The 13,391-nt window shown below is 36.7% G+C and overlaps 1 protein-coding gene across 3 annotated transcripts in view; it reads left to right on the forward strand.

Moving 5' to 3' along the window:
- Positions 1–13,391, forward strand: part of SLC25A31 (solute carrier family 25 member 31) — a 43,893-nt gene that overhangs the window by 14,741 nt on the left and 15,761 nt on the right. The gene's annotated exons all lie outside the window — the stretch shown is intronic.

Genomic DNA, 13,391 nt, shown 5'->3' on the forward strand with positions numbered 1-13,391 from the left:
ACGTAGTTCCTATTACTGAGGTAATTTATATCCTGAAGAAGTAAATTCTTTCTTCTTTGAGAATAAAGATATATTTAGCTGAGATTAAAGTGTATAGGAAGTCCAAATGGAGCAAAACTGGAAAATGATAAATTTAAACTAGAGAATTCTTTTTATTGCAAGGATACTTTTTTTTTTTTCGAAGTAATTACTCCCTTGGTTACAAAATCTCAATTTCAAAATTTCCTACTCATATAAACTACATGTTATTTATTCTGATTTCTATTTGTTTTGTTGTATGCAATACACTATACTACCTACATTACTCCCAAGATCTTCCCCTCACTCTTAAAAAATCTCTCTTCCCCCTCATCTTTTCTCTTTTTCTCCCTATTACTCCTCATCTCCCACTCCTGCCTCAGCCAACCAAGCTGTCTTAGGAGGTTTCTTAAAAGCAAGTCTTTGTGGAACATTTCATTGTTGCTGCCTCCTTAAATTTCCTTTTATGCTCTGTATTCCCTTTTTTCACAGTTTTATTAACAGTTGTTCATTGAATGTTTTGCCCTGTACTTTGGCCAGGGTGGTGGGGCAGGGTGAGGGGGCACAGGTAGAAAGGTAACCAAGAAAATTCCCTAGACTTAGAATTGGAAGGTTTAGATTTGGATCTTATTTAGCTACATGAGGTTTTTTTACTTTTATTTTAGGTTTGGGGGTACATGTGAAGGTTTGCTTTATAGGTAATCTCGTGTCACAGGGGTTTTTTGTACAGATAATTTCATCACTCAAGTATTAAGCCTAGCACCCAATAGTTATTTTTCCTGCAGCTCTCCATCCTCCCACCACCCACCCTCAAGTAGATCCCAATGTCTGTTTTTTCCTTCTTTGTATTCATAAGTTCTCATCATTTAGCTCCCACTTACAAGTGAGAACATGCAGTATTTGGTTTTCTGTTCCTGCATTAGTTTGCTAAGGATAATAGCCTCAAACTCTGTTCATGTTCCCACAAAATACATGATTTTGTACTTTTTTATGGCTGCATAGTATCGCATGTTATATATGTACCACATTTTCTTTATCCAATCTGCCATTTATGGGCACTTAGGTTAATTCCAGGTTTTTGCTATTGTGAGTAGTGCTACAATGAACATTCACATACATGTGTCTTTATAGTAGAATGATTTATGTTACTCTGGGTATATACCCAGTAATGATACCTCTGTTTTTAGCTCTTTGAGGAATCACTATACTGCTTTCCACAATGGTCCAGCTAATTTACACTCCCACCAACAGTATAAGTGTTCCCTTTTCTCCACAACCTCGCCAGCATCTGTTATTTTTTGACTTTTGAATAGTAGCCATTTTGACCATGAGACAGTATCACATTGTGGTTTTGATTTGCATTTTTCTAATGATCAGTGATACTGAGCCTTTTCCATATGGTTGTTGGCCACGTGTATGTCTTTTTTTCAAGAGTGTCTGTTTATGTCCTTTGCCCACTTTTTAATGGGGTTGTTTTTCTGTTGCAAATTTAAGTTCCTTGTAGATGCTAGATAGTAGCTACACCTTTGTCACTTTGCAAATATTTTCTCCCATTCTGTAGGTTGTCTGTTTACTCTGTTGATAGTTTCTTTTGCTGTGCAGAAGCTCTTAAGTTTAAGTAGATCCTATTTGTCGATTTTTGCTTTTGTTGCAATTGCTTTTGGTGTCTTTTTCATGAAATCTTTGCCCATTCCTATGTCAAGGATGATATTGCCTGGGTTGTCTTCCAGGGTTTTTATAGTTTTGGGTTTTTCATTTAAGTCTTTAATCCATCTTGGGTTGATTTTTATATATGGTGTAAGGAAGGAGTCCAGCTTTAATCTTCTGTATATGGCTAGCCAGTTATCCCACCACTATTTATTGAATAAGGAGTCCTTTCCTCATTGCTTGTTTTTGTCAGCTTTGTCAAAGATTAGATGACTGTAGATGTGCAGTTTTATTTCTGGGCTCTCTATTCTGTTCCATTGGCCTATGTGCCTGTTCTTGTCTTAGTACCATGCTGTTTTGGTTACTTTAGCCCAGTTCTATAGTTTGAAGTTGGGTAACATGATACCTCTAAGCTTTGATATTTTTGTTTGGCTATTCGGGCTCTTTTTTGGTTACATATGAATTTTTAAACAGTTTTTTCTAGTTCTCTGAAGAATGTCATTGGTAGTTTGATAGGAATAGCATTGAATCTGTAAATTGCTTTGGGAAATATGACCATTTTAATGATATTAATTATTCCTGTCCATGAGCATTGGATATTTTTCCATTTGTTTGTGTCACCTCCGGAGGTGAAAGATGAGAATTACAAAACACTGCTCATAGAAATCAGAGAAGATATCAGATAGAGATCTTTCACTTCCCTGATTAGCTGTATTCCTAGGTATTTTATTCTCTTTGTGACTGTATGAGGTTTTAAAAGTCAGTTTACTTCTCTGATCCCTAGTTTCCTCTTCTAAAATTTGGGCATAATAATACCTATCTCGTAGTTTTATTATGAGGTTTAGATGAGATTACTTGTGAAATGCATAGCATAGTACCTTGCTTTTATGACAGGCATTCAGTAAAATGTTTCTGGCCTCTTAAGCTGACAGCTCTAATAATTGGAATTTCCCTTGACTCAGATTGTTAGTTCCACAGCGTCAGGGTCTCCAAAACTATCCTCAGGGTCAGTGACTAGAAGGACATATAGAACTTAGAAAATCTGTTATACTGTGGTTTATTAAAGCAAAGGTACTCCAATTAAAATCAAAGGAAAAAGGCACACAGGGAAGAGACCTAGAGAAACCAGGTGCAAGTTTATAGTTGTCCCATCCTAGTGAATCATGTAGACAGAATACTTACTTCCCAAGAACATACGACAACACGTGATGTGTTGCCACAGTGAGCTTACCTAAGCCTTGGTGTCCAGGGTTTTTCTTTGGGATCAGTATCATAGGCGTGGAATGTGACTGACCTTAGCTACACAGTTTCTGGTCCCCTTCCAGAGATCAAACTCATACAGCTTAGTCCAAAACCTCAGGCATAGACAAACAGGTGTTTACCATAAATCACAATGTTAGCACAAACTCTCCCAGCTGAGTCACTCACCTCAGTCCCTTATAGATCTTGAAACAGTCCTATAAATCGGCTCCTGCCCTTCTCATTTGCAGCCTGAGAGCATGCCTGCTCACCCAGCAACCCACCAGGAGGCTCATCTGTACGTGACCCCAGAGACAAGCTTAAAGAGCTCGGTCTCAACAGTCCTAAAACAACCCTGTGACTTGGTTCCAGCCCCTGTCACCCATGGACCAAGTCAGTACTCCCTTCCCAGGGACCCACCCAGTCATCTAATGGAAGTGGTTCCAGAGTTGGGAGGAAACCACACCCATCAGCACACCTAGTAACAGGCCTACCATCAATGAAACGTGCAGGCCCTCATCCTGGCACCAACTCACAGACCAAGGTCCTTGAGACAGTCCAGTTCACCCAGAATCTAGATAGGATATGTGCTCACTACAGTTTTTGGTTAGAGACCCACCAACTCCATTCTCCACTGTGGACCCAGCAGCAGCCATGTGACTTGGATCCAACCCCACTGAACTGCTATCTATATAGCAGTCCTATCAGTCCAACGACCTAACAGGAGAAGATTTTAACTTGCCAAAACCAGTTTTCTAAGACTGCAAGAAAAGTTTGGTCTTTCAGATATCCAGACACCAATACAAGGCTACATGGATAACAAAGACTCAGGCAACCAGGGCATCACCAAAGGAAACTAATAATGCTCCAATAACAGACCCCAAACAAATGGAGATATACAAATTGCCTATGAAATAATTCAAAATAATTATCTTAAAGAATCTTAATGCAAGATAGACAACTGAATGAAAATAGGAAAACAAAACCATACATGAACAAAATGGGAACTTTAATAATGAAATTGAAACCATTAAAAAAAAAAAACAGAACAAAACGGAAATCCTGGAGCTGAAGAATACAGTGACAGAACTGAAAAAGCTCAGTAGAGAGCTTTAACAGCTGACGCAATCATGCAGATGAAAGTATCAGCAAACTCAAAGATAGGTCATTTAAAATTAGCCAATTAGAGAAAAAAATATAAAGACTGAAGAAAGCATAAGGAACCTATGAGACACCATCAAATGTACAAATGTGTGAATTATGGCAGTACACAATGAAGAAAAAGGGGAAGAAAGCTTATTTTTAAAAATATTGTCTGAAAATTTCCCAAATCTTTGGAAATGTATGGACGTCCAGATTCAGGAAGCTCAGAGGACTCCAAGCAAGATTAATTTTAAAAAGATCCAGGTGTGGATGGGCACTGGTGTGTAGTGGCTCAGGCCTGTAATCCCAGCACTTTTGGAAGCCGAGCCAGGCGGATCACGAGGTCAGCAGATCGAGACCATCCTGGCCAACGTGGTGAAACTTTATCTCTACTAAAAATACAAAAATTAGCTGGGTATGGTGAGGCAGGAGAATCGCTTGAACCCAGGAGGTGGAGATTGCAGTGAGCTGAGATTGCACCACTGCATTCCAGCCTGGGTGACAGAGTGAGACTCCATCTCAAAAAAAAAAAAAAAAAAGCCAGGTACAGTGACTCACTCCTGTTATCCCAGATCCTGAGGAGGCTGGGATAACTCTGGTTATCCTGAATACTTGAGGTGGGATGATTGCTTGAAGCCAGGAGTTTGAGACAAGCCTGAGCAATATAGCAAGACCCCATGTCTAAAAATAAATTAACAAAGAATACTAGGAGATACATTTTAACCAACTTGCCAAAAGTCAAAAACAAAGAATTTTAAAAGTAGCAGAAAGAATTAATCACGTGAGGTTATAAGTGAACTTCTTAAAGGAAACCTTGCAAGCCAGGAGTATTGGCATGACATTTTCAGAGTGCTAAAAGAAAAAAAAAATGTCAGCCAAGAATATTACACCTGGCTAAATTGTCTGTCAGAAATGAAAGAGAGTTAAAGACACATTTCAAGGCAAAAGCTAAAGGAGTTCATCACCACCAGACTGAGCTTGCAAGAAATGCTAATGGGAATTCTTTAAGTTGAAAAGACAATAAATAACATGAAAACATATGAAAGTATAAACTTAAGTGGTAAAGGTATACAGGTGCTCGTCAACTTACAGTAGGGTTACATCATGATAAACTCATAAGTGGAAAATATTAAGTCAAAAATGCATTTAATGCCCTGATAAATTGATTATATAGTCAAAAATCATAAGTTGAACCATTGGAAGTCCAAATACTCCTTGACTCATGATGGGATTATTTCCTTATAAACTCATGGTAAAGTCAAAAATTGTAATTTGAACCATTTGTATTGTCAAATTTGAAATACTCTAATACTGTAAAGGTGATGTGTTTATCACTTTTAATCCTTAACGTCAGAAGACATTATTAAAAACAACTATAATATTTAACAGATATGCAGTATACATAAATGTAAAATGTGATATCAGTAGCATAAAATGGAGAAGTAAACGTGTAGAGTTTTTATGTGCAGTTGAACTTAAGTTGATAATCACCTTAAATTAGAATATTGTAATTATAAAGTGTTTTATGTGAGCCCCATGATAACCATAAAGTTAAAAACCTCTAGTAAATACAAAAAAAAAGAGAAAGGAATTAAAGCCTACCTTTACAGAAATACAACAAATTATGAAGGAAGACACCAAGATTGGAGGAAAAGAAGAAATGAACTACAAAAAAGTAAACAGTTAACAAAATGGCAATAGTAAGTCCATATTTATCAATAACTTAAATTGTAAATGAATGATTTTTAATTAAAAAACATAGTGGTAAAGGGATTAAAAAGACTCAACAGTCAGTTGCCTATAAGAGGCTTACTTTAGCCTTAAGTATACACATATACCCCATCAAGCTACCAATGACTTTCTTCACAGAATTGGAAAAAACTACTTTAAAGTTCATATGGAACCAAAAAAGAGCCCACCTTGCCAAGTCAATCCTAAGCCAGAAGAACAAAGCTGGAGACATCACGCTACCTGACTTCAAACTATACTACAAGGCTACAGTAACCAAAACAGCATGGTACTGGTATCAAAACAGAGATATAGACCAGTGGAACAGAACACAGCCCTCAGAAATAATACCAGGCATCTACAACCATCTGATCTTTAACAAACCTGACAAAAACAAGAAATGGGGAAAGGATTCCCTATTTAATAAATGGTGCTGGGCAACTGGCTAGCCATATGTAGAAAGCTGAAACTGGATCCCTTCCTTACACCTTATACAAAAATTAATTCAAGATGGATTAAAGACTTAAATGTTAGACCTAAAACCATAAAAACCCTAGAAGAAAACCTAGGCAATACCATTCTGGACATAGGCATGGGCAAGGACTTCATGTCTAAAACACCAAAAGCAATGGCAACACAAGCCAAAATTGACAAATGGGATCTAATTAAACTAAAGAGCTTCTGCACAGCAAAAGAAACTACCGTCAGAGTGAACAGGCAACCTACAGAATGGGAGAAAAGTTTTGCAATCTACTCATCTGACAAAGGGCTAATATCCAGAATCTACAAAGAACTCAAACAAATTTACAAGAAAAAAACAACCCCATCAAAAAGTGGGCAAAAGATATGAACAGACACTTCTCAAAAGAAGACATTTATGCAGCCAACAGACACATGAAAAAATGCTCATCATCACTGGCCATCAGAGAAATGCAAATCAAAACCACAATGAGATACCATCTCACACCAGTTAGAATGGCAATCATTAAAAAGTCAGGAAACAACAGGTGCTGGAGAGGATGTGGAGAAATAGGAACACTTTGACACTGTTGGTGGGACTGTAAACTAGTTCAACCATTGTGGAAGACAGTGTGGCGATTCCTCAAGGATCTAGAACTAGAAATAACATTTGACCCAGCCATCCCATTACTGAGTATATACCCAAAGGATTATAAATCATGCTGCTATAAAGACACATGCATACGTATGTTTATTGCGGCACTATTCACAATAGCAAAGACTTGGAACCAACCCAAATGTCCATCAGTGATAGACTGGATTAAGAAAACGTGGCACATATACACCATGGAATACTATGCAGCCATAAAAAATGATGAGTTCATGTCCTTTGTAGGGACATGGATGAAGCTGGAAACCATCATTCTCAGCAAACTATTGCAAGGACAAAAAACCAAACACCGCATGTTCTCACTCATAGGTGGGAATTGAACAATGAGAACACATGGACACAGGAAGGGGAACATCACACACCGGGGCCTGTTGTGGGGTAGGGGGAGGGGGGAGGATAGCATTAGGAGATATATCTAATGTAAATGATGAGTTAATGGGTGCAGGACACCAACATGGCACATGTATACATATGTAACAAACCTGCACATTGTGCACATGTACCCTAGAACTTAAAGTATAATAAAAAAAAAAAAGATATTGCAGGCAAATGGAAATTTAAAAAGAGCAGAGGTGGCTATACTTACATCATACAAAATAGACTTTAAGTCAAAAACTGAAAACAAAGAATGTCATTACATAATGATAAAGGGGTCAGTTCATCAAGAGGATATAACAATTGTAAATATAAATGCACTCTACATCGGAGCACCTAAATCTATAAAACAAATATTAATAGATTTGAAGGGAGAGACAGACTGCAATGCATACTGCACTTTCAACAATGGGCAGATCATCCAGACAGAAAATAAGAAAACATTGAGCTTGAACTGCACTTTAGATCAAATAGATCTAACAGATATATTTAGAACATTCTATCCAAAACCTGCAGAATACACATTTTCACAAGCATATATGCAAGTCTTAACAAATTTAAGGAGGTTGAAATCATGTCAAGTTATCTTTTCTGACCATAGTGGAGTAAAACTATAAATCAAGAACAGGAGAAATTTAGGGAAAATCACAAATATGTGGAAATTAAACAACATGCTTCTGAACAACCAGTGGATCAAAGAAGAAACCAAAAGGAAAAATTTTAAATATCTTGAGAGAAATTTAAATGGAAGCACAACATAGCAAAACTTATAGGGTATAGCAAAAGCAGTTCTAAGAGGAAGTTTATAGCAACAGAAGAAAGACCTCAAATAACCTAATGTTAAACCTTATAGAACTAGAAAAAGAAGGATAAACTAAGCCCAAACTCAGTTGAAGGAAGGAAAAAAAAATCACAATAGAAATAAATGAAATAGAGACTAGAGATAAAAGATTTTTAAAAACTAAGAGTGGGTTCTTTGAACAGATAAACAAAATAGAAAAACCCTTGGCTAGGACTAAAAATAAGTCTCATATAAATCAGAAGTGAAAGAGGAGACATTGTAGCTGAAACCTAGAAATGCAAAAGATCATAAGAGTATTGAAGGATTTTTATGCCATATAAGTTATGAAAATTTATATGCCAAGTAATTATGTAGCCTGGAAGAAATGGATAAATTCATAGAAACATACAACTTATCAACACTGAATCATGAAGAACTAGAAAATCTGAACAGACCAACAATGAGTAAGGAAATTAAGTCCATAATCAGAAACTTCCAAAGAAAAACCCAGGATCAGATGGCTTTATGGCAAATATTTAAGAACTAATACCAGTCCTCCTCACAGTCTTCAAAAAAATGGAAGAGAAGGCAACACCTTCAGACTCATTTTATGAGGTCAGCATTACTCTGATACCAAAGCACCAGAGAAGGACACTAGAAGAAAAGAAAATTACAGGTCAGCGTCCCTAGTGAACAAACATGCAGAAATCCTCAAGAAAATACTAGCAAACTGAATTCACCTGCACATTAAAAGGATTATTTATTATGATCAAGTGGGATTTATTCCTGAGAAATAAGGATAGTTCAATATACACAAATCAATACATGTGATAAACTGTATTAACAAAAACCATAGCAGCATCTGAGTAGATGTCAGAAAAAGCATTTTACAAAGTTCATTCTTTCATATTAAAAACTCAGCAAGTTAGGCATAGAAGGAATGTATCTCAACACAAAAAAAGATCACATATGATAAGCCCACAGCTAACATTATATACAACAGTGAAAAGTTGAAAGCTTTTTCTCTAAGATCACAAACCAGACACACTCACCACTTCTATTCAACAAAGTACTAGAAGTCCTAGCCAGAGCAATTAGACAAGCAAAAGAAATAAAAGGCATGCACATGGACAGAAAGAAGTAATATTGTCTCTGTTGTCAGGTAGCATGATCTTATATATAGAAAACCCCAAAGACCACCAGAAAACTGTTAGTACTGGTAAATGAATTCAGTAAAGTCACAGGATACAAAATTAACATGCAAAAATTAGTCACATTTTACATACTAACAATGAATTCTTTTAACAAGAAATAAGAATAACATTTACAATAGCTTTAAAAAAAAAAAAACACAAAATGCTTAGTAAATTTAACCAAGGAGGTGAAAGATCCATATACTGAAAAGTTTAAAACACTGATTAAAGAAACTGAAACTGAAATATAAGACCTGAAACATAAAACTAGTAGAGGAACGCACAAGTAACTGGAAGCTCATCGTGTGTTCATAGTTTGGAAAAATTAATACTATTAAAATGCCCCTACTATCCAAAATAATCTACAGATGCAGTGCTGTTTCTATCAAAATTCCAATGGCATTTTTTCACAGAAATAAAAAAAGAATCCTTCAATTTATGTGGGATCACAAAATACCCACAAAAAGAACAGAGCTGGAGCTATCATACCACCTGGTTTTAAAATCTGCTACAAAGCTATAGTAATCAAAACAGCGTGAAAATGGCATAAAAACAACCAACCAGTATGACAGGACAGAAAGCCCAGAAGTAAACTCACATATCTATGGTCAGTTGATTCTTGACAAAGAAGCCAAGAACACACAATGGGGAAAGGACAGTCTCTTCAATAAGTGGTATTGACAAAAGGGATGTCCATATGCAGAAGAATGAAATTGGACTCTTATCTCACACCATATACAAAAAAATTAAAACATATTAAAGATTTAAATATGAGACCTGAAACATAAAACATTGGGGAAAAACTCCATGACATTGGTCTGAGCCATGATTTTTTGGATATGACCCTAAGAGCACAAGTAATAAAAGCAAAACTTATAGACAGATGGGATAGTATTAAACTAAAATGCTTCTGAACAGGAAAGGAAACAACAGAGTGATGAGACAACCCGTGACTTGGGAGAATATGTTTGCAAACAAAATATTTGCCAAAAAAAATCTGACAAAGGGGCTAATATAAAAACTGTATAGAGAATTCAAATACTTTCATAATATAAAAACAAATGACCTGATTAGAAAATGTACCAAAAACCTAAAGAGACACTTCTCAAACGAAGACATACAGATAGACAACAGGTACATGAAAAAATGCTGAACATTACTAGCCAGGGAAATGCAAATTAAAACCGCTTTGAAATATCACCTCATACCTGTTAGAATGACTATTATCAAAAATATGAAAGATATGCGTGAGCAAGACTAGAGAGAAAAGAAAACCCTTGTATACTGTTGGTGGAAATGTAAATTACTATAGACGCTTTAGAAAATAATATAGAAGTACCTTAAAAAACTAAAAATAGGGCCAGGTGCTGTGGTTCACGCCTATAATCCCAGCACTTTGATAGGCCAAGGCGGGCGGATCACCTGAGGTCAGGAGTTCGAGACCAGCTGGCCAACATGGTGAAACTCCATCTCTACTAAAAATACAAAAATTAGCTGAGCGTGGTGGTGTGTTCCTGTAATCCTAGCTACTAGAGAGGCTGAGGCAGGAGAATCGCTTGAACCCAGGAGGTGGAGGTTGCAGTGAGCCGAGATCGCGCCATTGCGCTCCAGCCTGGGCGGCAAAGCAAGACCCCACCTCAAAAAAAAAAAAAAATAGAACTGCCACAGTATTCAGCAATCCCACTACTGGGTTATATATCCAAAGGAATTGAAATCAGCATGATGAAGAGATATCTGCACAATCTGCAGTCTTGTTTATTGCAGCATTATTCACAATAGCTAAGGTACGGAAGCAACCTAAGTGTCCATGAGCAGATGAATGGATAAAGAAAATGTGTGTATTCAGTGGAATATTACTCAGCCTTATAGAAGACAGAAATTCTGTCATTTGTGACATGGAATAACCAGCTAAGTGAAGTAAGCCAGGTGCAGAAAGACAAATACTGCTACTGACTTTGTACATCCCACTTATATATGGAATTTTAAAATTTTGATCTCATAGAAGCAAAGTAGACTGGTGCTTTCTGAGGTCGATGGAGCGTGGGGGGATGAGGAATGGGTAGATGTTGCTCAAAGGGTACAAAGTTTCATTTAGACAGGAGGAATAAGTTTTAGGGCTCTGTTGTACACCATGAGACTGTAGTTAATAATAATGTATATTTCAAAATTGCTAAAAGAGTATGTTTTAAATGTTCTCACCACAAAAATTTAAGTATGTGATATATATGTTAATTAGCTTGGCCACTCAACAATATAAATATAAATCGCAATACCACATTGTACCCCATAAATATATACAATTATTTGTCAACTAAAAAAATTTTTAAGTCATTGATACTTTTAGCCATTGTACCGAAAAATTTTTTTAAGTCATTGATACAACAAAATAAGATATCACTAAATACCTACAATAATGATAACACCAAATTGGACAGTGCAGAGAAACCAAATCACTCTCATATTGCTGGTGGAATGTGAAATGGCACTGCCACTGTGGAAAAAAGTATGGCGATTTCTTAGAAACTAACATGCACCCACCGTATGATGCATGTTTACACTTTTGGGTGGGCATTTATCCTGGAGAAATGAAAATTTATGTTCATACAAAAACCAGTGTACACAATGTTCAGTAGCAGCTTTTCTTAGAATAGGCAAAATCTGGAAACAACTCAGATGTCCTTCAGTAGGCAAATGATTAAACTGGTAAATCACATCACAGGATATTACTCAGCAGTAGAAAGGAAGAAAATTTTAAAATAATAGATTCAGGGGATACATACACGTCTGTTACATGGGTATATTGTGTAATGCTGGGGTTTGGGCATCTGTTGAACCCATCAACCAAATAGTCAACATGGTACCCAACAGGTAGCTTTTTAACCCTTCCCCCACTTTCCTCCCTGCTTTTGGAGTTGCCAGTGTCTATTGTTTCCACCTTTATGTCCACACGTACCCTCTGTTTAGTTCCCACTTATAAGTGAGAACATGAAGTATTTAATTTTCTGTTTCTGCATTAATTCACTTAGGATAATGGCCTCCAGCTGCATCCATGTTGCTGCCAAGGACATTATTTCATTCTTTTTTTAAAGCTGTATGGTATTCCGTGGTGTATATGTACCACATTTTCTTTATCCATTCATCCATTGTTGGGCACTTAGGTTGATTCTACGACTTTGTTATTGTGATTCGTGCTAAGATAAACATACAAGTTCAGATGTCTTTTTCATACAATAATTTCTCTTCCTTTGGATAGATAGCCAGTAATAGGATGGCATAGTAGTTCTATTTTTAGTTCTTTGAGATATCTCCATACTGTTTTCCATGGGGGTTGAACTAATTTACATTCCCACCAACAATGTATAAGCATTCCCTTTTTTTACACATGACTGACATATATCATTTTATGACCTTTTAATAGCCATTTTGACTAGTGTGAGATGGTATCTCATTGTGCTTTTAATATGCATTTCTCTGATGATTAGTGTATTAGTCCATTTTCATGCTGCTGATAAAGACATACCTGAGACTGGGAAGAAAAACAGGTTTAATTGGACTTACAGTTCCACATGGCTGGGGAGGCCTCAGAATCGTGGTGGGTGGTGAAGGGCACTTCTTACATGGTAGTGGCAAGAGAAAAATGAGGAGGAAGCAAAAGTGGAAACCCCTGATAAACCCATCAGATCTCATGAGACTTATTTACTATCATAAGAGTAGCATAGGAAAGACTGACCCCCATGATTCAGTTACCCCACCACCCCCGGGTCCTTCCCACAGCATGTGGGAATTCTGGGAGATAAAATTCAAGTTGAGATTTCGGTGAGGACACAGCCAAACCATATCAGTGATGTTGAACATTTTTTCATATGTTTGTTGGCCAGTTGTCTGTCATCTTTTGAGAAATGTCTGTTCACGTCCTTTGCCCATTTTTTAATGGGGTTATTTGGTTTTTTTCTGGTCAATTTATTTAAGTTCGTTATAGATTCTGGATATTAATCCTTTGTCAGATGCATAGTTTGCACATATTTTCTCCCATTCTGCATATTGTCTGTTTCCTCCACTGAATGTTGTGCAGAAGCTTTTTCAGTCCCATTTGTCAATTTTTGTTTTTGTTGCATTTGGCTTTGAGGTCTAAGTCATC

Source organism: Homo sapiens, chromosome 4, assembly GCF_000001405.40.
Source record: "Homo sapiens chromosome 4, GRCh38.p14 Primary Assembly".
Taxonomy (NCBI): domain Eukaryota; kingdom Metazoa; phylum Chordata; class Mammalia; order Primates; family Hominidae; genus Homo; species Homo sapiens.